Raw genomic sequence first — 26714 nt, forward strand, 5'->3', positions numbered from 1 at the left:
GGATAGCACTGGGAGATATACCTAATGCTAGATGACGAGTTAGTGGGTGCAGCGCACCAGCATGGCACATGTATACATATGTAACAAACCTGCACATTGTGCACATGTACCCTAAAACTTAAGGTATAATAATAAAAAATAAATAAATAAATAAATAAATAAAAGAGCTTTGTAAGCCGGAAAAAAGGTAATATTCTTTAGTAAATAATAATGTTTCTTAAAAAAATCATTATACATTTGCATCATGCCTGGAAATTTTAAGGCAGCATATACTGAGAAGTCACATTTTTAACTTCACTTTGCTTCCCACACTCCTGGTTGTAGACCCATATTATGTGGATATTCTCTAGACTTTATTGCCTCAGCTATATGTGTGAAGAGTTCATCACTGAAGGTTAAAATAATTGCAAGAGCCAGATTATAAGGCTACAGGTCAGAGTAAGAATTTGGGATCCTTCTCTCACAGCAATAGGTATCTATAAACTTTCTTAATCAGGGTAACTTAATCAAAGGCATAATTTTTAATAAGTAATGTAAGTATGTAGAATCAGTGGAAACATTAAAAACAGTATGGTAGGCAAATAAGTGCATGAAAAGATGTTGAACGTAATTAGCTAACAGTGATTTTCAAAATAATGAGATATCACTACCCACTTATTCAAAATGACTGACAAATAAGTAAATAAATAATGACAATTCCAAATGCTGACAAGGATGTAAAGAAACCAGATCAATCATCCATTGCTGGTGGAAACGGAAAATGATAGAGCCGTTTTGGAAAACATGTTGGCAGTTTCTTACAAAATTAGATATACAATTACTATACAATCCAGTGTTGTACTTTTGGAAATTCATCCTAGGGAAATAAAAACTTACTTTGACATAAAAATCTGTATACAAATGTTTACAGTATCTTTATTTGTGATAGCAAAAACTGTAATCAGCCCTGACATCCTTCAACAAATTAATGGTGGTTAAACAAATTGTGGCACATACATATTATGGAATATTATTCAGTAATAAAAATAAACAAACTTGATATACACCACAATCTGGATCAATCTGCAGGGAATCATGCTAAGTGAAAAAAGCCAATTCCAAATTAAAAGGCACGTACTGCATGTTTCTATTTATAAAACATTTTTGAAATTTGAAAACGTTATACATAAACAGCAGATGAATGGTTTCCAGGGCTTAGTGATAACACATTTGTTCTTAAAGGCAGTGGGTGTGCTTATTAAAAAGCAACACAAGGGATCTTTACGGTATTGGGATTGTTTGATGACTTGAGGTCGGTGGTAGATACACAAACTTGTACAAGTGACCAAATGGCGTAGAATCTAATACACATACGTATCCACATACACATTTACAAAGGAATACAAGAAAACAGGATTAAGATCTGTGGATTGATTGCATCAACGTCAAATGTTCTGGTTGTGATATTATACTATGGTTCTGTAAAATATTACCATGGTGAAAACTAGGTAAAGTGTATAAGAGTGGTCTGTATTGCTGTTACAATTACATGCAAATCCACAATTATCTCAATACAATTTTTAATAAAAAACACAATATCATTATTTCCTCATTCAGACTACACAGATTTGAGACAAATAGATATAGTTAGATAAAAGGAAGTGATGCATTTTTAAAAATTAAAAGAATCACAAATGTGATTGATAAATCTTGGGCATGTAAAGGTTAAGATAGATTCCGTTACAGTCTCAAAGCTTCAAGATAAATTATGTTAAAAGAAACCAGAAAAGGGTCTAACGAGTTTGGCTGAATGGTTTTATTCATGGTAAGTTTCTTTGTTGATATATTGTTTTGTTTTGTTTTGTTTTATCACTGCTGTTGAGAATGGGGGTAATGTAAAAAATCAATTTTAAATATATTATTTTTATGCATGATAAAATTAAAATGAAGAAGTTAACAGTTATAAGACATAAACTAAAGCATGGCAGAGGAAGAATAATTGGAGATTTTCTACCCAAATCTTCATATTAAATAGTTTTTCTAAAAAAAAAGTTTTGCGTTTCCTGTTGGTACTACTGTTTGCATTTCTCTTTAGGGCTATATTTTGACTTACAAGATAATGTCAATGAAAAATAAAAGCACTCATAACATTTTAACTTTTTGTTGACAAATGACGGAAATGTAATATAAATTAGTAAAAATAAATTATATAAAAATGCCAAAAAGTGTCAATGTTTCATTATTTGTATCATCCTTATGAATTGAACAGGCAATTGGAAAATTCTTTTTAAAAAGTATACTCAGGGAAATTTTAAAATAATTTCCTATTCTTACATACCTGACTGATAAAATCAATTTTTCTTAGTACAGATGGCTCATTAAAGCCAGAACTCTTTAACTATGACTTACCAAATAAAAATCACTGATAGCTTAACGAGGAAAAATACCAATAGGTTGGGAAATAATAAATGTACATAAAGAATTAAAATATGGTATGAAGTAAATAATTGCCCAGTAAAATAATTAATGTGGATTTCAGAAAATACTACAAAAATACAATACAAAAGTTCTGGAAAAAAGTATTAATTTAATTATCATTGTGTATCTTCTTTGATTCTTTATTAGACAATAGGCCTTGAGAAAGAAGGGATTATTCCTTAGAATTATTTGAGTCACTTACAGCATCTTGAGCTAAAAAGAAACCCTTTGATGGCTAGAAATTAAATAAAATCAATTTTAAAATAATAAGCAAAATTAGGCTGGGCACGGTGGCTGACGCCTGTAATCCCAGCACTTTGGGAGGCCAAGGCAAGCAGATCACCTAGGGTCGGGAGTTTGAGACCAGACTGACCAACATGGAGAAACCTCATCTCTATTAAAAATGCAAACTTAGCCAGGCGTGGTGGTGCATGCCTGTGATCCCAGCTACTTGAGAGGCTGAGTCAGGAGAATCGCTTGAACTCAGGAGGTGGAGGTTGTGGTGAGCCAAGATAGCTCCATTGCACTCCAGTCTGGGCCATAGAGTGAGACTCTCTCAATATAAATAAATAAACAAGCAAAACTATTACTCTAAAATGCTCTTTGAAACAAATATTCCATATTTTAGAATTAAACACAGTATATTCCTTTTGTCTGGAGAGAAGTTTCCATGTGTTGTTACTCATGTTGATTTCTTCAGGGCCTAGCAAAGCCTAATATGTTATAGGTGTTCAATAAACTATTGTTGTTGAATTATATTCAGAAAATATTATACATAAAGATCAAAAGGGAATTGATATCTAATAGATACTCTCTACAAATAATACATTCATTCTTTAAAAAGTTTTTAAATATATTTGCACATATATGAGTAGAAAATAAGATTTTACTCGTAGCTAGGAGGCAGTATGATATTGAAGTATTTTCATTAGCTATTAAAAATAATGCTACAATCTACTTCAGTAATAAAAAAACAGTGGGAGATATTTCTTTTTCTTTAGAAATTATATAGGAAAAGTTTTAAAAGTAGCTTATTTCAGGTAAAATTTTGTAAAAGTAAACAGGAAATGATTAAGTATTAGTCCTCTAAGTCATCTGATTGAGTTTTGGTGTGCCTGGTAGCTACCATTTAATACATATGTAAATGATAGAATATTGAAAAGCCTGAAGAAAAACCAGTTGCTGAATGTGCCAACATCCTAAAACTGAGTAGAATTTACAGTTGTTTTTTTAAATGGGATTTTTCATTGGTATAGTTATCAAAGCACTCAAGCATAGTTTGAGATTTCATTTACGGCTTTGTTCCCAGAGTTGGTAGACCACATAAGCAATATTTATTACTAATTGTACCTAAATAGAATCAAGTCTTGTTAAGATGGCTAACTTATATAGCATACCTTTTTTCCTACATCCCTTTTAGTTTCAAGGTGCAGGATTAAACAATCCATTACTAATATTACGAGAATTTTCAGACTAATATCACATGTTCCTATTAAATCTAGTAAGAAAAGAAAATTTTCTGAATAGCATTAGAAGTTCAAATTTCAGTAGCTTCAGTTAAACTTCACTCATGGATTTTCCTTTGCGTAGAAAACAAATTTATAATTTTTTACAATGGCACCCTTTTCTTTATAAAATTCAGTGAAACAACATTTAGAAAGCTATTTTAAAGGAATAAAAAATATTTTTAAATAATTCACTTAAATATGCTTTAAAAAGAAGATCTTGATTTTCAAAGGGGATGTATAATATAGTTTTATTCACATTTTAATTTAATAACTCTTCTGATTCTTACCAAGTAAATTCATAACTGAATTATCATTTCATTGATTTTTGAAAAAAGGAAGCATGCATTTTATTTTCTTTATTTTAAAATTACTAGTTCTTATGTAACTTGGCTTAAAGCAAATACACACACACACAGACACACATATATACTTCTGCCATTTCACAATACTGTGTATTTCCTCACAAATAACTTTAATAGCGTCTATTTCTGTCTTCGAATTCTTCTTTCAATGTGTTTAGGGCAAGTAAGTAACATAAATATTTTGTTGAAATTAAAGGAAAATATTTTACGCTATTTTTATAGAGAAAAAAGTGATTCAAAAAGGGTGCTCCAAAAAATATTCCCAGATTCTCCACTTAAAGACAGTGCCAGAGATTTAATATATTTTATGAGATCAGATTAGTTCCTGAGAGCACCATTTTCTTGCCAAACTCACTGCTAAAGAAAGCTCCCTGTGGAATTTTCAAAGAAAGACTAAACCTAGTAGCCTAGTTCAATAAAACGACTAAAAAAGTAAATGGGAATAATTCAATAAAGTATGGCAGCAGTAGAAAGAAAGTCTTTAAAAGCAAGTTTAAACATTTTTAAAGTATCTCCTGAAGTACCATCTCCCAGAAGACTGAATGCAATGAGGAGCACGGACCAACGTGTTAACCTGCCGACCTACCATAATAGCATGACAGATGCTTCCTACCTGAAGGGGTCATGCCTGGGAGAGAGAGAGGGAGAGTGAGACTGACAGAGTGCCCAGGGAGGGTATTGATCCACTGACTCTTTTCTGGTAACCATTACTGAGACATGAGCTGACAGTAATTAAAATGACTTACACACTGGGGTGGTTTCAAACTCAAATCTTCGACTGAAGACACCATAGCCTGCTGCTGTACGTGCTCGAATTTGGAAGACATAAACTGAAGCTGGTTTCAAGCCCTCTGCAGTAATAGTTGTCTCTTTAGATTTGATAATCGTGTAGCTGGTCTCTTGGTCCTTGGGATGCGCATGCATATACAATAAAAAAGACAGCATATAAATTACTAATGACAGCAAAATTTAGAATCATAGATCAGAAAATGAATCAGAAACCAAAGGACTCTATTAGTACAAATATAACATTTTAGAAAAAAATCCTACACATCCTAGGTGTGCTATTTACATAGAATATTAAAGTCTTTTCTAGAACTCAAGGTGGTGGGTGACATACTGTCCACCCATCCGGAATACATGTCTTCGGCAGTAATAAATTTCTAAAACTTTGAAAACATAATGTTGTAGGAGACTGATTATTTTACAGACTCTATTTTAGTATTGTTATTTTTGTGCTTTTTTTCCCTCCAATATAGTTAATCGGAGCATGTCTAACATACTGCCTATTCATACAGAAAGTTAACAACATCTCCCATTCTGTGAGGTAAGACTTATGCTTTAACTCATTAGTGAATTCAATTTCTAATTGTATTTAGTTCTTAAGGTAAGAAATTAGTACTTCACTGGTGAAATTTAATTTCAATTCACTAAGTCTAAATAGAAAGCATTAAAGAAAAATGCAGATAAGCAAAACGTTTTTATTTATCTTTGAAAATGTCCTGATTTGGAGGGGCTAAGTTAATGGAGATGTACTAGGAAAAAAATTACTGGAAAGATAGTTTTGGGAACTGAAACAAAGAGGAACTTTTTATTTTGATGCCAACAAAAGTTTAGACTAACCATCCATAGCTCCTTATTATCTCTGTGAAGTTACCACACCAACTTTACCATGGATACAGAAATCACATGCTCAAATATAACGGGTCCATTTTTGCTTTTATATTCAGTTTCCTTATCAGTAAAACTGGGTAGAGACTTGCTTGGGTTTCCTCACAGAGATGTTGTAAAAATATAACAGGTAACATATGTGAAAACAGTTCATAAACTACAATATATGTTTTAATTTTCATAATTATTTTAAATATTTGTAATTCTTTCTTATATGTAATGTCAAAGTTAACTACCACTAATACTATCTAAAATATACAATCTATAAACATTTTTCTTTTAAAGCAATTTACCATTCCTTTTGTAATATGTTTAATCATATAAAATTATCTTAGAGTTAAGTAGGTCCAAAATTCTCTCTAAATAGGTATGGTATAATTTATAAGCCAAATAGCACATTTTCTGATTCATCCTAGGCAAATGATTGATCTTTAATTTTTTAAACTGCAAATTAATTTAATTATCTAAACTTTCATATATTTAGGAAATTTTATTAAATTTGAGCCAAGGATTCAAAGTAGGTAATTAAATCTTGTAAAACTTTACCTAATAATACCAGGAAATTTCTTCATTGACAAACGTGTAATGCTCTTCCATTATCCACTCTATTACCCCTTCTGTATGCTAGGATCATAGCAGTAAAAAGCAAATAATTTCTTAATGTGTTCCTTTTAACAACTGTAAACAGCTTCTATAAACTATGACAGTTACTAATTTTTCTGAGAATGCACAGGTTCTTAATGGAATAAACCTGATAATATTATTTATTATTTCTCCATATTATTGAAAAATATTATTTTCCCATATTGTTTAAAAGCAATATTTCTCAATAATATTCAACTTTCCAGTCTGGCTATGATTGCAGTAGTAACTCTCAGTAAGTAAGTTAAATGTCTGTTTGCTGATATTTGTTTAAAGAAAATTTAACTTAAAGAAAAAATCTAGTCAGAATTTAAGTATAAAATTCTGATAGACTTTATAAAATTTTCATTTTTACGTAAAGGATTAACATTTATAATATAAACAATTAAAAGAAGGCCTCAATGACAGCATTAGAATTCCAGCCATATTATTAAGTAGATGAGAAAATGTGGGTAAACAACTCTGAACCTCAGTTTTTTCTTCCTTAAAATGGAGATAAAATTATTTACCAAGAATATTGGAAGGAGATAGAGATAAAAATAATGCATGTACCACCAAGCGTAATCTCTACAAAATAGGTTCTATGTAGAATGGATTACTTTTAACTCTATAGCATGATGGTAAGTTCCCCCATTGAAAAGTAAAAAACGAAACAATTTTTAAAAGCTTCCACAGTTGTAAACACTAACTACTGAAGGTACAATGAATACATTTTGTAAAAATATTAGAAATTGATACTTTTTTGCCAAAAAGGAAACATATACAAGGAAACTGGGCTGCTGCTCCTTGAAATAAGGTGTGATCTAATATCAATTGCAGAACATTCTGTCTGATTTAACTGTTAACGTTATGTATGTCTCAGTTGTTCCTTAGCTAGAGTTTAATTGTACATTGGCTCTCTCTGAGTTTGCCATACATAAGTTATTGAAGAAAATTTAGGGAAGCATATATCTAGTGGATCAAAACCAACGAATACACATTGTGAATCATCTAAGCGTCTTCCAAAATTTAATTATGTTTCATTCCTTTAAATCACTCTCATATTGTAATTTTCTACATATCACAAACTTTATGTAAAGATTGTCAACACCCACAATTGCCCTGCTGCCAAGTCCTTGGTCAGGGCAGTGACTTTTCCTGCCTTCGTGCCCCAGCTGAGCAAATGAGCTACATTCCCCAGCTGCTTAGCAAACACTGTTCACATGCAGTGAGGGGACGGCCTCAGCAGAAGGAGCCAGCTGGCAAACACCCTGCCAAGGGGCAGCTTCCCTTTGCCTCTGCCTTTAATTAAGAGATGGCAATGAGCCCATCATCACACGGTAGCAGAGAAGCCCAATGACCTCTATTAGAGCAGGGCAATCACAGGCAGAAATGCCAGCTGGCAAATGCATGTGCCCTGGAAAGCTCTGCCACCTGTGTCTGGCCAAAAGCCATCCAATAAATGGTGGTGTCATTCTGAAAGCTCAAAATCAGCTTTGAAAACCTATCAGGACCCCTAACTCAATACATGGTATAAAAACTCATAATCCATTTTTTTTATAAATGAAAGTCTTTAAAAAATCTTTATAGGTATAATGTAGATATGCTCAAATATTTGGCTCACACACGATGGTCCGGGAATTAATACTTTTATTTTAAAAAGGAAAACACTGACCAAAATAATCACTTCCACCAATATATTATATAAAGATTTTTCTGCTTTTAATGAATGTAAATAGGCAACTTATTATTAATTTATTGGAAATATGTTTAGAAACCTTTTTCCCAAGTCATTTTTTCTTAATTTGAGTTATACAGATCATATAATGGAATATACAGCATTAAATTTGAACTATTAAATATAAGACCAAATCATACTGAGATAAATGTAACTCAAAAAAAATTAAACTATAAAGAAAATAATATCACAATGTGGATAAATATTTAATAGAAACTCCTCCCTACCACTTGTTGAATAACTCTTTGTTGTAACAGAAGCAGCAACGTTTTTTAAAAAGATAAATTCTTCTTAATATTGAATATTATATACATAATGAAACTAATGCATATGCTGGGAAGTGGTCACAAAAATATCAAAGGTTATTCATAAGGGGAAAAAAAATAGGATGCTTTCCTCAAGGACAAAAAAGAAAGCCAGCATTAATCCAGCTAGTTGATTCAGAGATAAAAGAAAATGTAAGTACTTGTTAAACTTTTAGTCTCCCAGCTATTAACCCTTATTGCATCTCAGATAGTCAAATATACAGTTTTTGGTGACTGGATGTTTTACAATTCTATTTTGCATTTTACCTTCTTTTAAAATCAACTTTAATCGCAATGAAAATTGAGAAACAATGTTCACAACAGAATTCAGCATGTGTTAATATATATTTATATAACTCTACATAGCTTTGCATCAGTATAGAGTAACAAAGGTTACAAAAACTTGAATAAGAAATATAAACCTTAATTTTACAAATTGTTTTTTGATATAGCCTATGTTTAAATTGTAGACCTCTGGAATTTGCAATGCTGTTTGTTACTAGTAATCTCACGGGAACAGTAATCAGTGAGAAAGTTTAATGTCACTATATTCCACTTGATTAACTACAGTTTTGTTGACAATAAACAGTGTTAACCATATCCCAACATAACTTTGTCTCAGAGGTATTCTCTAAGAGCATTTTTGGTGAATAATGTATTTAATAACCTATTTTTGAAGTATGTGTCATCATTTATGTTTCGGAATTATCTGATAGTTGCATTTAATACTACCAGTAAGACATTCCTAGAAAGATGACTATTTCAAAAATCGTTGACTATTTATCTACTAGTAAAATCAATATACGAACATTGTAGAAACATTAAAAACCTGTAAATATGTAGATAGCCTTTCTCCATCCCTCCCCATTGTTTTATTCTTTGTTGTATTTTTACACAGGCAATTGTTGAATCAATGAATGAAAGAAGAAAATTTATTTTTGAATTTTGTATACTGTGACAAATTAACATTCAATACACTTACCTAAACTCTTTTTTTTTTTTTTTTTTTTTTTTTTTTTTTTTGCTTCGAGACTGAGTTTTGCTCTTGTTGCCCAGACTGGAGTGCAATGGTGCGATCTTGGCTCACTGCAACCTCCGCTTCCTGGGTTCAAGCAATTCTCCTGCCTCAGCCTCCTGAGCAGCTGGGATTACAGGTGCCCGCTACCACACCCAGCTAATTTTTTGTATTTTTAGTATAGACAGGGTTTCACTACGTTGGGCAGGCTGGTCTCGAACTACTGACCTCAGGCGACCACCCGCCTCAGCCTTCCAAAGTTCTGGAATTACAGGCATGAGCCACCGCACCCGGCCCTAAACTCTTTTATCTATGCATGTATATATGTATATATATAGTTGCACTTTTAAGTAATTTTCATTAATAGGACATTAGCATTTTTCATGATGGTGAGGAGAACCATTTATTCTCCCTCTCTTTTCCAATGCCCTAGCTTGGGCAAGTTCTTAGGTATTGTAAAGTAAGATTTTGTATTTCCTACCATCCCTTTTACTCTTCCAGAAAAAACGAAGGAGTGATGTCTCTGTGAGTCTGGAAAAGCAATTGAGTAAGTAGCGTGGTTCAGTCCTTCTCTTCTTTTTTGGGATCTGCATGTCTGCATTTTTTACTTGTTCATTTCTATTCCTACCTCCATAGGACCAATATTTCTAGCTCAGACTCTCCAACCCACTTCTCAAAGGCTGGTTTGGGTACCCATCTATCTTTAGCTCCTCTTTTAGAATTCAGGTTGTCCTAAGGTGCGTATGCCATTCAGGTCCAGCCAGTAGAAAAATCACAGATGAATGGGGCGGGAGTAGTAGGAAGACTCATGGTGGCTACATCTCTGAGCCACATACTCCAGCCCAGTTTTAGAAATTAGAAGCTTTTTCAGCTTCCATCTGTATGACTCTTTCATCAATAGCTCACTTGCTTGTGAATTCAGAAAAGAGGAAAAGAGTTTATTACAACCTTGAGACCTCGACAGCTATTACGGTAAAATGTTTAAAAGTGGCTATAAGAGACTCAGAGAACAAGGGGAAATCAAGAAAATATAGGGAACGTGATGCATACATTTTTTATTTTTTACCTGAAATTTAAACATAAATTTTATACTACAGTGCCAGATGTTTGCTAAGAATCTTTAAAAAATGTATGTGATATATGTGTCTCATCTTTTTTCTTATCTCCTTAACAGTATAGGTGTTATGTTGAGTTACTGGCCATAAGCACACATTTCTCTGTTAGCACACTGCAGTCACTACTGAAAGTCTATAGCTTAAGTATTTGTAACACTTTCAAATGCCCTATGACTTCATCTTTTAATGCTGTGCAACTCAGTTAAGCCAATATTAGACTATATGGCTATATCTAAGCAGTGTAAACTATGTGGCAGCAGCAGAACATGAATAGAGAGCTCCCTGTACACTTCTAGCCTCCATAATTATGACTGCAGAATCAATTGTCATTGATTTACACATAAAATTGCAACATACTCTTCTGCAAGTTGGATAATTGTAGTTGCTAAAATGAAAAAAAAAAGAAAGTGAGGACATTTTTTATTCTGTTAGTCTTACCTTTTCAAAATACTTGATTTCATACTCTAGGATGATTCCATTGGGACGATCTGGTTCTTGCCAAGACAAAGAGATGCTGTTTTTTGCAATTTTCCCTTTTTTCACATTGGTGACTGGAGATGGAGCTGCAAAATAGTTTAAATAAGGAGCAGTATGATTAATAAGGCCCTAAAAGTAAACCTGTTATGTTTATTACGTATATTGGCATTTTGAGAACGTAGCAATATAAAAAAAATCCCAATTAAATTTTAGTTTTTCTATATAAGGTTTAAAGATTGTGAAGATTTTTTACAAATATAAATCAGCTAAATATCCTCAGGATTTTTTCATAATAAAACTATTTGTATTCTATATTGTTTCCAAGTTGTTTAGAAACATAAATTATTTTATTTCATAATTTATAGAATAAAGATATTCCTGATTATTTTATGTATCTTCTACATTTCTAAAATGTATGAGCTCTATATGACATATCCCATTATGCTAATAGATACATGATTATATTACTGCATTTGCACAACACAAACTCTCTTTTATAATTTATTACATTTGAAATTACATGGATCCTAAAATCATTAATAAATGTATATATTAAACATGGGCAGGTTCCTTAAGAAACATGCCACCAAAGATATGATACACTTTAAAATAAGAGCAAATAAAATAAACTTTTTTTATTCTCGTTTTTCTCATATATTTCCTTAGAAATCATAATCACTTCTGGTGATCATCACAATTTTATATCGGGTCTATGAAACCACCACTTGTCTAATGAAAATAGGACTTATATATCTGCTCTTTCGGGTATGTCTGGATATTTTGAGTTTGCAAAACATCTGAATATTTGAGTCAAAGTTCTTTTTATCAATCTGCTGATATATGTATAGATAACATGTCTAAAAGACATGGCAACATAGAATAGTAATCTATGGGCCTCCTAGTTCACTGTAGTGTTTATTGAAAAGTACTAACATTACTGAAATAGAAACAACAGAGGGTTAAGTAAGACAATGAAGTTTTGAATATATTTTGTTCAGTAGTGAATATCTGTATGAATTATTTTGAATCATGAATTATGCTCAATTTCCCATTATCACTACATATGTTTCATAACACAACAGTAAAAATCGCAGAGAAAGACTAAGTCTTCAAAGTTCTTCACTCACTTTACTATAGTAAAATCATTTTTTTAGATTTACTTATTTCTTGGAGATAGCTGTCAGTTTTTACCTAATGAATTGGTGGTATTACCACCTTGCTATTCATAAATTATATTTAATATGTATGCTTCATGAAGGCAGGAATTGATTTGGTTTAGTTCACTGCTACATTTCTAAGATGAGAAAATTGTTTAGCATATAGAAATTTAATGAATATTTGTTGAATGAATTGATGGATGGATGGATGAATGAATGGCAAATTCATATTTAATTATGTGTCATTCAAAACTGAATTTGTCTCATAGGTGCACATACTAGGATAATATTAGTTTGGGATTTGTGCTTCATTTTAAAACTTAATCAGTTCTTCAATAAAATAATCATTTGTGGGTAAAGACAACAAATAAATACCAACACAGAAACAGCCTAAGGTGGAATACTTTGTTATTTACTTGCATTAATCAAAGTTAAGCATAAACTATTTCACTTTCAAACACTTAGTTAACAAACGCCAGTGTTTTCCAAACTCAGTTCAGTAGCTAAGAATACACTTTAAAATACTGGTTTAGAATGAGGGGAGAAGACCATTTCTGAGCTCAGAATAGGTCAGGGATAATTTCCTCTGTGACAAGAGCATCTTTGCATCTTCTGGGTAAAGCTGATGAAAGTGGGGATGCTGACAACTCCTGGGGACATAATGATGATGCACAAATTGTGAATGGCAGCAATCCTTCACCACTGCAAGTATTATGCACATTAAAATAACTGTAACCAGGTTTGTCAGCATCAAGGAGCATGCTCAATTTATCTTATTTGTCTCCCTCACTGATACCTTTTGCCCATTCTCTGCCTGCTCAACCTTTTAAGTCTGGTATCAAATGAGAATGATGACTTAGAGCATTTATGCTTGTAGAATTTTGATGGGTGATGTCAAATCATAAAACTATTACTGTCCCTGTATAAGGATAGAAAAAAGTACCAAGGAAATCAAGTTGTGAAGAGTATAAAATAATTTCCAAACTTCTGAGTTGTAGCTTTAAGATATGTGGAAATATTCCAAACTCTTTCCATATTGTACCTTCTGTGTTAGAGCTAACCTTTGCATACTAGTATGATATGCAAAATGGAGATCCTTTAGGCTACTACAGTTCCCATTATGAACTGATTGCCTTGTCTGTTTCAAATTTTTAAAGTTTTAAATTTAGAATAGCTTTATTTTTATAGAAAAATAAGATAATAGCATTCCCACATACCTTACATCTAGTGTCGCCTATTAGAAATATATTACATTAGCACATTATATCTGTCACAATTAATTAACAAATACTGGTAGATTATTATCAATTAAAGTCCACAGTTTATTCAGATTTCCTTAGTCTTTAATTAATGTCCTTTTTCTGTCCTGAGATTCCATCCAGCAAACCACATTCATTTAGTCATCATGTTTTCTTAGGCTCCTCTTGGTTATGGCAGTTTTTCAAAGTTTCCTTGATTTGATGACCTTGACACTTTTGGAGCACACTGGTTGGGTATTTTGTAAGCAGTCTCTCAACTGGGATTAATTTAATGTTTTTTCATGATTAAAATGGGGTTGTGGGTTTTTTGGGGTATGACCACAAAGGTAAATTGCAAATCCTATTACATCATATTGAAGGTACACACTATCTACCTATCATCACCGTTATGTCACCTTTGATTTCCTGAGTGACATAGGGTTTACTGTTCCTCCACTATAACATTTTTTCCCCAGCATTCAATATTGTACTTTTTGGAAGAAAGTCACTATTTGTAGCCCACATTTAAGGAGTGGGAATTTATAATTCACTTTCTTGATGGTGGAATATCTACTTAAATTATTAGAAATTCTTCTGCATGGGAAATTTGTCCATTTTTCTTCATTTTTAAATTTATGTAATTATTTACATCAATATGACATGGATATTTTTATACCTTGGTTTATAGTCGAATACTTTATTTTATTACTTAATTTGCTAACGCTTTGGCCATTGGAAGCTCTTTCAGAGCTCCTATGTCTCTTTGATATACCCCCATCATTATGGGTTTGTCTGTTTTTTTTTTTTCTACATTATTTTCTTATCTTCTGGGACTAAAAGACCAGATGCTCTAGGCTCATCTTGCTTATTCACTGCTCCAGTCCTAGAGTCATTCATTTCTGTAAGGAGCACTGGTTTCATTTATTAGAAAAGGCATTAGAAACCAAGATCTGGGTGTTGAGTGTGTTTCTTGCCACTGAGGTGCCATTGCTTCTAAGCCCTCTAACTGACAGGACAAGGACATAAATGTGTATATTAACTTGTGTATATCTATACATATTCCTATACATAACTACCTATATCTATATTAACCTAAAGATGCATATATACTGATGTTGCGAACTCTAATTATTACATAAATAATTCTAGCTTTCACACCTTACTTATCTGTAACCTCCCACTCTAATGGTGAGTCCCACCATCAGCCATTCAACTGAACTTAATTATTCAGTTCCAGTACATATGTCTAGTATGTACTGAATTGTTCAGAATTGTTCATCTGTGTCTGTTTGACTTATTGATAATGATATAATGTAGAAACCTCTAATATCCCAATGACACAAACAATGATATCAATGATATACAAAATCCTGTCATCAGTTGTATAAAACAATATATCTTCCTTACTTTTCAGATATAGAAACCTAGTTTAAGGCACAGTGTTCCAAGATGGAAAGGCCTGCCATGGTACAGATACGTTGAAGCCTGATAGAATTGACTTCAGGTATTTTGGCAGCCAGACATTTCTATGTAATTCTGTTAGTTAGTTAACTTTTATAAATGTGCTTTCAATCTTTATAATAGGAACAATAATATAAATTCATTTTTTGAAGGTTGACATCTTATTCTTCAGGTACAATGTCAGGTACAGGGTGGGTGCCAAATAAATACTATTTGTAATAATATCGGTTGTAAAATATTAGAAAATTGTTTAAGAAGTTTTCAATGATGAATTTTCCACAATTCTTTAACTGTTTTATCCTTTATCAGTCAAAATTATTTGTCGCTTCTTCTCTGAACTTGGCACTGCTTTAAAATGCTCGATGAGATCCAAAGGCAAAGTGCTTACACAGATGAGATGCTTTGTTTTCTGCATCCAAGGCTTCATGACTCTAAATTAATAAAAAGTTATGAGTAAATTTCCTTGATTTTATTAATTTTATTAATTAAAATGTTGGGCTTTCTAATGTCAATTAAAACATTGATAGTTACACTTAGTATAGAACAATATCTTCCTCATTCTTTAAAACAAAGTGAACATGATGAAAACATGAATCTCAGCTGTGTCAAATGGAATAAGAAAATACCATTCACGCATCCCTATAGCCAACACTTTTTGTGTAGGCAGTAAATTATAAATAGAATCAAGTATTGGTTACTTGTATTTAAAAAAATAAATAAATAAAACTCCATGCATTTGATTTATATACCCATATTTTAAGTCTCAAAGACTAGAGAGAGGTAAATAAAACAATATTGAAATCTTTTCAGTCTATGACAGTCCATGAATGTGTTAAAAACTTCATCAGATGACACTTTTTAAACTTTCCAACTGAAGTCCCTACACGTCAGTCATGTGTTAGTTCATTTAAACACAAGGTTTAAAAATACATGTATTTTACATTTGATTCTATAGGTTAAAATTTGGCCAAATGAACTGTCAGTATCTGCCAGCTGGAAGCCCCCACTTCTCACTGCTATGCACACTTTATCATATTAAGGTACTTCTTATTAATGAAGCAGGTCTTATTAATGAAGCATGTCTAGGCCACTACAGTATTCCAAAACAACACAGAGTATTAGGCTTCTCTCCAGAAAATTCTGACTCTGTAGGTCAAGTTGGGACCAAGATTCTGTATTTTCAGTAAAGACTCTGGTGGAATCATTTTGTCAGTAAAATTCAGGAAGTAATTAAGGCAAACCATACTAGGATTAATTCTTCTTTTTAAAAAATATTATTATTACTATTTTAAAAATAATAATTATTATTAATGCTTCTTTTATAAAAAATCAAACTTAGAAAGCTGAGGCTGAAAGTTGGATCAGTATTGAGGTTTTCTGAACTGCTGCTGACTTGAACCAGTGGCTCACTATTGTTGCCTGTTATCCTAATCATTGTTAGCAACTTTGCCTTTCTGTGAGGATTATTTCTGCTTATATTTGGTATTTTCCTGACCCTTTAGTATTTGTTGGTAATTTGATTTGTTTGTTCATTCATGCCATAATTCGGTTTAGTCTGTTGATAATCTATAAAATTAGAAAAATCTTATGTCTGGTTCATTGTTGCTTGCTTAGTCCTTAGAATATTTTTCTGACAACTTCGTAAAATGTATAACCGCGTCCACCCTCGTTGAAGACGCCATGATTTTTCTCTTAATTGGACTACTTCTTTACACCTTCCTGGCCTTCAGGGAGTTTTTCTAAGAACAGCCAGTGTGTTATTGTTCATGCTGTAATTTTGTCACGTCACTACCCTGCCTTATGGATTACTAGGTTGCACATGCTCTATCCTCTGCCTAAATTTCTCAAGTCATCAAGTCAACTATCTTTCCTTGATTTTATTTTATCTTTCCTTGATTTTCCCTTTCATGGACATGACCTTCTATATGTTTCTTGAGCACTCTAAATTTGTCCTGCCTCAGACCCTTTACACTTGCATTTCTTTTAGTTTAGAATGTCCTTCCTTATCTTCCTCTAAATTGCCCTTCACTTTATTCAAGTCTTTAAAATACAAGTCATATTTTCAGAATTAACTTCCTGACTGATTGACCATTTGTTAATTTCTTATTTTTCTTTATAATGGCACTGCTTGAAATGATATGCTTATTTCTTTACTTGTGTATTGTCTTATATTCTACAGGAATATAGCTTCCATGATGGGAGGTACTTCTACTGTCTTATTTATTGATATATCTCATGTGCCTTGAAAATTCCTGGAGCATAGAATGGCATTTAATTTTTCTAACATGCATAAATTATTTTTCTGGGATTTAAAGCTAATAAAGGATATATAGCACATGGTCCTACTTTATAGTTTTTAAGTCGAATCAATTATTGCATGGATCGTTCTAGTCTCCTCACTTTATTTATCTGTAACCTCTTGCTCCAAGAGTGGCTCTCACCACCTGTCATCCAGTTACTTACCTGTTTAATTTCAGTATAAATGTCTTCAAAGCAATATATTTTTTATTTGTTTTTGGCACAGCACAATATAGGTAGAACTATATTTGAATCTAGTATATATTGAATATGTATCTGACTTACATATGAATAGGACAGGGAATAGTAAAATGAGTAAACAATGTTATTAAAGAATTTCAAGGAAATCTAGAGACTTCTGGAGCAAAGAATAAATAAAGAATTAGAAGTCAAGTGACTACCACCCCTAACTATTTGTATAAAATAAGAGTTACTGGAAAAAAAGTCCAAGAATATATATGCGAATATACCCACACACAATTTCATATTTATATATAGAGAGACAATTATATGTATAAGTATGTTTAGTAATTATAAAACTCGAGTGTATTCTTTTTTTTTTTTTTTTTGAGATGGAGTCTTGCTCTGTCACCGAGGCTAGAGTACAGTGGTGCGATCTCTGCTCACTGCAACCTCTGCCTCCCGGGTTCAAGCGATTCTCCTGCCTCAGCCTCCCGAGTAGCTGGGGTTAAGGCGCCTGCCACTGCACCCGGCTAATTTTTGTATTTTTAGTAGAGACAGGGTTTCATCATCTTGGCCAGGCTGGTCTCGACTCCTGACCTCATGATCCACCTACCTCGGCCACCCAAAGTGCTGGGATTATAGGCGTGAGTCACCGCGCCCCGTCCTTGAGTATATTTTTAAGATAAAATATATTCCTTCAGTAAAGAACAGATTTTTGAAATGATGAAAGACAAAGTATGGTTTTAAATCTATGTGTCTTATGACTCTCTTCATAAGGCTTTCCATTCTTTCACTTCTTCACAAAGGTGGAAAAGGGAAGAGGGAAAAATAGGAAGACAAGCCCTAGCTAATCTAAAAACCTAAGCTACAGTTATAGAATTTCCAGAGAAACATGGGAAATTACAAAACCTACATCCAATGAATTTATCTTTGGTTTATATTTTCTAAGATGAAATAGTATTGGCATTAGCATAGTGAATACATCTTTGATTTTCATGTCTGTCTTTCAGTATCTATCTGAATAATAGTATAATACTGTCTACACTGAATTTTGGTATAATACTGTCTTTCAGTATTTATCTTTACTATCTATGTGTATGATCATGTAACAATTTAACTGCCTCCCACAGACTACATATATATTTTTAAATGAAATGCAGATATAGATAAATCCATATTTTATTTTATATATACATATATACACACATCACATAGACATACATACATCTCTAAGAGAATCATGTACGTCTTCTGTAGCTGGTTTAATAAATAAAGCTACATATAGTGATTACTTTGCTATCTTTGTTTTGGGGTACATATTAGCATTTGAATGTAAGAAAATGAGTAACTAAATTTCCTAAAGTAAATGAGAATTGCAGTTATTGAATTATAAACTTATTCAAAATTATTAACAGAAAAGTAAGGCAGACATAATATACACACTCACAAATGTGCAATATTATACCCTTTATATTTTTATAATACATAACATAAATTTTATATACTTACATACTTAGTATATCCTTCTTACTGTGTTGTCATTTGATACTGTTGGGCCAGGAAAAGTAACTAACAGTGCATTCTCAACACACTTAGTACCTAACCATGTTCTGTACTAAAGAAAGAAGGTATTTTAAAGGTTTCTTTCTCAAATAAAAATTCAATCTGCTCACTCAGACAAAAACCTACAATCACTCCATCTTAAAAGCCTGCAACTGGATCTTTTGATATATGACCTCAGTAAAGTTTTGAAACGACCATTTTACCAAAACCTGGCCTTAAATGTCAGTAGTTCTAGAGAGACGGTATCTGTTTTAATAAAAAGAATTTATAAACTAAAATGCACCATTCAGTATAGTTTGGTTTTTTTCAAAGACTTGAAAATCACAAAATATTAAAAATTAGTTGCTTCCAGCAGGAAACGAAAGTAACTTAATTGCCAAGAAGTAATTTCTGGTGTGATTACAGTTCATAGTTGAAATCATACACTTTAAATATTGTTTTGAAGTCACATTCACAGTGATATTAACTTGAAAAGAAAATGACAATAATAAAAATAGAAAACTATATCACTGGCACTCATAGTATTCTGTAAAATAACAGTGCAAATCACAGTAACAAATATTAAATGTAACAAGGTGTATAATGGCAACATGCCTCCTTCTGAATAGCAAAATTAATCTCACACCAAATTAATTGTCATTGAATGTGTTTTCCATTCATTACTTGTTATTATCCTATAATAGAATTTTTAATACACGAAGAGTCCTAAGTGTCAATGATTATTTGATCTTAATAACCACAATCCCCATTTTACAAGAAACAGAATTCAAATAATTTTTACAGTATTGTAGTAAAATAAAATGAGGCTATATCTAGCAGATAGCGTGGTGCATTTGGAAAACTTTAATCAGCTCAGTATTATTCAGTTATACTATATTCAAGAGAATATAGTCCCATATGCAATTTTCAATAATGTTTTATCAATATCAAACTTCCATTATGGAATACTGCAGTTTGTTTTACAGGAAATTAAGTAGTAATTAGCTCAGAAACAAATTTTTATAGCTTATGTTTAACAAGAAAAAATTAGTCTCCTCTTATAAATCCACATTAAATAGGGTTTTGGCAACCACAGACTAAGTCACTAACAGTAACAAGGCCATAAAGTGCAAACTCTAATTCAGTTGTTAATTATTTCAAAATTTTCACAATTTAAACCAATCTGATCAAGCATTTTTAAAAGCAAAACAAACACATCATAAATATAGAGAACCTATTCATTTTCCTTTCTCACTTCTCATTGGTCTTAGTCTTATATAGCCAAATGAACAACAGAATAATTTAATTCACTAGGAATTGTGATATTAAATTATTTATCTATTGATTGTTTAAAGAACCAGATTGAATTTCTATTATACTATTAAAATTCAGGACCACCACATCTTCTCTGCTGAAATATATTCTCGCTGATACCATCTGACATGATTTCTTCAAAATCTGATATTATGCCAGTAGACACAAAAAAATAAACTTTATGGCTACAGAATGACTGGGAGACCTGAGTAGTGTTTATCAGCAGCTCTCATAAACATCCCAATCACAATATCTTTAAATAGCATCATTTCTAACAGCAACATGACAGCCTGGAACTAGAGAAAATACAGGATTAGTGATTGCAGCTGGTCAACCTTTTAAAGTCCAGAAAAAAAGCCAAATCACAACATTCTGTTCCACATTAGTAATGTTACCAGATATTTAATTTTTAAGCCATGGGACCAATTTTAGTGAATGAAACCACATATTCTTCAGTTGTGGGAAATATCTGCTGCTCAAGTCACATGTAAGGCCATTTTTTACTCAAACAGATCACGCAGAGAAATTTCTAATGCTGATAAAATATATAATTATATATCTATCATTATAAGTTTAAATGGCATAAAATCCATATTTTTTGTTCCACTGGAACAGTAGTCTAGATTCCTATTTATTTTAAAAAGTAAATAAAATGTAAATAAAACTGGCTGCAAAGTGCTCAAGATGTATTTTGAAAAAAACTCAATTATTAGAAAGAATTAAGTCCAAATTTTGCTTTGAGAATTGTTTAACAAATATTGGCTAAGTGAATGAACAAATAGATGTATGTATGAATACATAGATAATGAGGCTACTGTAATTGCTGTACCATAAGAATACATAATATATCACATTTATAAGAAACATTATGTGCCAGACAGTTTATAGTTTAAGCACTTTATATACATTAACTCATTCATCCTTCCTAACATCATTAGGAAGTAGAAACTATTATCGTCCCTTTTTGATGCACAGAAGTTAATTATCCAAGTTCACCCCACCAGGAATTGGCAGACCTTAGCAGTCTTTCTTCAGAGTTTGTATTCTTGAGTATTATTCCATAGAATAATGAAAGAATAGCTCTAAATAGAGTGTTACATTTAATATGTCATCGCACATACAATTATGTTAAAGATTATTCAGATTATCTAATTTCTTCTTTGAGTATATAAATGTCTTAATTTTTGCTCAGTTTCCTTACTGCTTTGCAAAGCTGATTATAAAAAGCAATAGGAGAAACAACTGTCTTTGATAAAAACTAAGCAACTTTTTATTGCACATTCTGTGACGTGTAATTGTAAAACTCTTAGTTGTATTACCTAAATCAAAGTTTTACAACTATTTTTGATCTACCATGATGCATTTATGTAATAGCATTCAAATATATGAGAAATATCTCTACATACTCCTATACCGATGCAACTTGAAAATTGTCTTCTGAAAATAAGCCAAGATAAATCCTCACAACGATTAACGGTACACACAAAATGACTGCTCTCCGCATGCTGCACCATAGATAAGATGAACTGTGGATTTTGAGAAATGCCCTGCATGCTAAATGCAAATTCAATTTTCTCTACCACTCAGGAATACACATGTAAACACTTTGAGGCAAATATTATAATACAGATAGCCATAAATATCCTCTAGTTTATATATATTTAAAATTATGTATGTATATATTTCACAAACTTTGATACTTCACGATTAATAAATAATAACTTGTAAAAAGTAACATAAAACATGCATGTGGAGTAACAAAGCAGAGATCTGAAGGACTCATATGTAAGTTTCTTCCTTATTTGTACCAGCACATTCCTTTCCTCAAAACTCAAAACATCTCTTTCTCCATCTCATGGACTTTTAACAGGTCTTCCCACCGAAGAAAAAGTGCTACTGGCAATTCTCCTCTTCCCGACCTCCCTCCTTTCCTTTTTTCCTAATATTACTGAAAACCTACTGTATGCCAAGCGCTAGTGAGTTGGGTTATCGCAATCAACAATTCCACGTGTCCTGGCCAGTGACCATACAGCTGGGAATATTAAAAATAAATAGTTTGGGAAAAGTATTAGATATCACAGATAGAGAAAGTTAGATCATTCCTCTGAAAATCCATGTACCTGCATTCCATATTATACAACCTTGAGCACAGAGAGTGGCCTCATTTATCTTTGTATCCTCTACAGCTAGAAAAAGAACAAGCATGTGGTATGTGCCCAATAAAAAAAAAGATCCAATCCATCAAGAAGCCAATGAAACAGGAAAGTGGTATGAGATATTTCTGACAAGTAGTGAAGATGTAATATCATCACTAAAGACATAATAGAATATTAGTTTCTCAAAATTTATGGATAAAACTGACAAATGTCAGTTTACTTGTAGATGAACTTTTATTTAAAAAACCAGAATTGAGTTAACTTGAAAAAAGCCTTTATGACATTATGTTACAAGTTTGATTCTAGCTCAAGTTTAATGATTAACTGTACATTTTATGAGCAAAAATGATACAAAAATAACCAATTCTTGTAAATTCAAGGAGGAATTGAGGCAAGTGAAAATTGCTAAGGAGTACAATAAATATCATTTTAATTTGCTTTTTGAAGTAATGGCTGTATAGAATTGACTGCTATAATGTAATGTTTGCAAATGTAGAAACTTGCCATAGATATAGAAGTGAAATAGGTAAGAGTAACCTGCGCTCCAATAAAATTGCTTAAAAATACTGGAAATAAGGTTGGTTAACAACACTTTCTAGAGAAAGTCTACAGTTAATTAATGGAAACAAGTCAGAATATGTTTGAAACCTTTGTTGAAAATCATCTAACTAGCTTTAGACTTCTGTGTTGAGTTCCTTTTCGTTGTTCTGTTTTGTTTATGTTTTTGTTCATGTTTTTGGTTTTGTTTTTCTTTTTTAATATGGAGTCTTACTCTGTCACCCAGTCTTGAGTGCAGTGGTGCAATCTTGACTTACTGAAGCCTTGAACTCCTGGTTTCAAGAGATCTTCCCGCCTCAGTCTCCTAAGTATCCTGGAATATAGGTGGGCAGTGCTACACCCAGCTAGTTTATTTATTTATTTAATTAATAAAATCACTTTCTACTACTGCTTTTACAGCCACCTAGAGCAGGTTGTGTCTTATTTTTATTTGAAGTAGATAAATTTTGCATATAAATTAATAAAGTATATATTATATATAAAAATACATTTGTAAATATATTTAGTGCCTCTATATTTTAAGTATCAACAGCTCATAAGTAGTGGATTAGGGATTTAAACACATATATGATTCTAAAGGTACTTAACCTGATGCTTCTAAATATAATGATACAATGTGGTGTTTAGTAAAGTTAATTCAAAGAGAGATGTAGCATGGTGATCTATGCAAAACACTCGCTAATGCAAAACATTACATACAGGTTATTAAGTATGCAAACCAGAACAAAATAAAATTTTCGAGTGCTGAAGCAGATTATTCTTAGTTCATTAAAAACACTGTAGGGTATTTGTTTTTGACATAGTTCTGTATATAACTTAAAATGACTTCCATGATATAAATAGTTTCATTGTGCAGTGAATACAGAATCTAAACTTAATTTAGGTAAAATTTTGGGAAGCTTCCATATTCAAATACACATAAATATAAAACAAAATATTCTAATGCCCATTCTGATTACTAGGCCTCTCTTCAGTGAAACAAAGTTGTAAGACCACACCAACATATTGGATATTCGCTTAGAATGCATAGTGATAACATTATGTTGGCCAGAACATGCATAGTTAAAATGTTATGTTGGCCATAGAATATGAGACTCTTGATTCTATTCACCCAGAAACTCAGATATATTTCAACACAGCCTTGCCAAAGTATCCTATCATATAAATTTCCTATTGCTGCTACAACAAATTACCAACAAAGTAGTGGTATAAAACAACACAGATCTATTATCTTACGGTTCTAGAGGTCAGAAGTCTAAAACTCAAGGTGTTGGCAGGGCTGTGTTTCTTCTGGAGGCTTCAGCAGAAAATCCATTTCTATGTCTTTTCTATCCTCTAAAGACTACTGGACTTCCTTGGCTCCAGCCTCTTCCTCCATGTTCAAAGCACTTTCACTTGGCTGGGCGCAGTGGCTCATGCCTGTAACCCCATCATTTTGGGAGGCCTAGGCAGGACGGATCACCTGAGGCCAACATGGCGAAACCCCGTCTCTAATAAAAATGCAAAAATTAGCAAGGCGTCGTGGCAGGCTCCTGTAATCCCAGCTACAACTACTCTACTCGGGAGGCTGATGCAAGAGAATCGCTTGAACCCGGGAGGCGGAAGTTGCAGTGAGCCGAAATCGTGCCACTGCACCCCAGCCTGGGCAAAAAGGTGAGACTCCATCTCAAAAAAATAAAAAAATTAAAAAATAGCACTTTAACTCTAGCCTCTGGTTCAGTAGTCACATCTCCTTTTTATCTAACTCTATTGGCTCTCTTATATTAATATAATCACCCTTAGATTACAGTGGGCTAGGATAATCTCCCTATACAGGATAACCTACCAATCTCAAGATCCTTAATCTAATCACATTAGCAAAATTCCTTTTTTCCATTTAAAGTAACATATTTAGAGATCCTAGGAAATAGGTTGTGGACATTTTTTTTAAGAAGAGCATCATTATTCAGCCTACCACATCTACATATATCCTGGTTTTCGCCATGTTTGTGTCTAATCTATATCATTTTATAGTCTTCTCATGTTCACATTCTAGGCCAAGACGATATATTTCTAATATCTTTATTATGGATTTGTTAAATGCATCTATAAAATTATATTTTAGGTATACATATCCAAACACTTTCCACGGGACTACTTAAACATAGTTAGCAAATTAATATCTTATTTGTATTCATTTATGGAAGGTTTTTTTTGGATATTGATCTAATCTTATTTGAAATATCACTAAATATTTTTTAAATGCATCCCTTCCCTTTGCTCTTCCAAAGCACTTCTCTATTCATCACTTCCCTTTTACATAAATTAATGCAACTTTTCATCAAATGTTTCAAAATTCCAATGGAATAGGCAGAAAATTCCCTCTTGAATCAAGATTGCTGCTTCACATAATGTTGTAGGCCATCTCACTACTAAATTGTTATGTTGAAATCAAAACACTGACTATTTTTTTAAGACCATGAAGTACCCAACCAGGACACCCTGTTTAGGAAGACTTTTATGTGATTTTTTCAGCCTGTTCCAAAAATGAAAAACACAGCCAGCCAATGTCTTGTTTAAGATATAGTGATTAAAATCAAGTATACATAGGAGACACCACAGAAATATAGGTCCTTGTAATTTCCCCATTGCCCTCTCTATGTGCAAATTATGGTACACATAAGGATAGGAATTTGCCATTAACTGTCAATATTACATATAAAAATGACATTAAAAAATAGAATCACCTATATTATCCACATTTTAACACTGGTCGTAAACTATATATACACCCTGGGCAAGTTCATGAATATTTTATTGCTACACATTAAATTTCACCTCACTGTCACTGAGAATTTTAGATTTGTGTAATAGGCGTCTTGGATCAGTCCATGATTTGTATCCATTGTTAGGTTTCTTGGCACAGAGTGGAAGCATTTTCATTGATGAGTCCATACATATGGGCTAAGAATAATATTTACAGAATTTAGATTAAGTATTCTTGAAGGCATACAAAATATTCATAATGGCATTTGTATGGTTTTTTCATCTTCAAAGGATTCTTTTAAGTGTAGAAGATACTAAGAAATCAAAATATTACAAGCTTTGATACTGATTCTCATAGCCACAAGGACAAGGGGAGAGCTAGGATATCTAATTAGACTGACATATTCTTGAAATACTCCCAGATAAATTAAGGGTTTATAAACAAAGCACTTGTCTAGATGTTGCACTGTCTTTTTCTTTTTCCGCTTGTTATCTGAAAAATCATTATGGCTGCTGGAAACCCCAGATCTGGAGTTGAGGAGAGCTTCCATTCTAGCTCTGTCACTATCTTAGCATTAGGGGTAAAGAGCTGAGCCTTTTTATATGTAAAATTAGAGCGTTAATGGAAACCATTTTTGCTAGTTTCTCTCTGATGGTTAAAAACATTCTGCAAGCATAGAAATGAAGCACTGGAAAAAAAAATCCATCCACAATTGGTGGATTCAATTATCTGACTGCATATTGAACATCTCCAATTAAATACCTGCATTAATAAAATGTAACTATTCTATAA

At 32.4% G+C, this 26714-nt stretch overlaps 1 protein-coding gene across 13 annotated transcripts in view; it reads right to left on the reverse strand.

Annotated features, from left to right (window-relative positions):
* The window catches only part of EPHA5 (EPH receptor A5), a 350923-nt gene that overhangs the window by 89644 nt on the left and 234565 nt on the right, over positions 1 to 26714 (reverse strand). For all 13 annotated transcript variants that reach the window (NM_001437320.1, NM_001437321.1, NM_001437313.1 and 10 more), the window contains 2 exons: positions 11231 to 11355; positions 5074 to 5233 (listed from right to left, as the gene is read on the reverse strand). In NM_001437320.1, coding sequence (NP_001424249.1) covers positions 5074 to 5233; positions 11231 to 11355 — 285 coding nt within the window. The remainder of the gene's footprint in view (positions 1 to 5073; positions 5234 to 11230; positions 11356 to 26714) is intronic.

This window comes from Homo sapiens, chromosome 4 (genome assembly GCF_000001405.40).
Source record: "Homo sapiens chromosome 4, GRCh38.p14 Primary Assembly".
In the NCBI taxonomy this organism is placed as follows: Eukaryota; Metazoa; Chordata; class Mammalia; order Primates; family Hominidae; genus Homo; species Homo sapiens.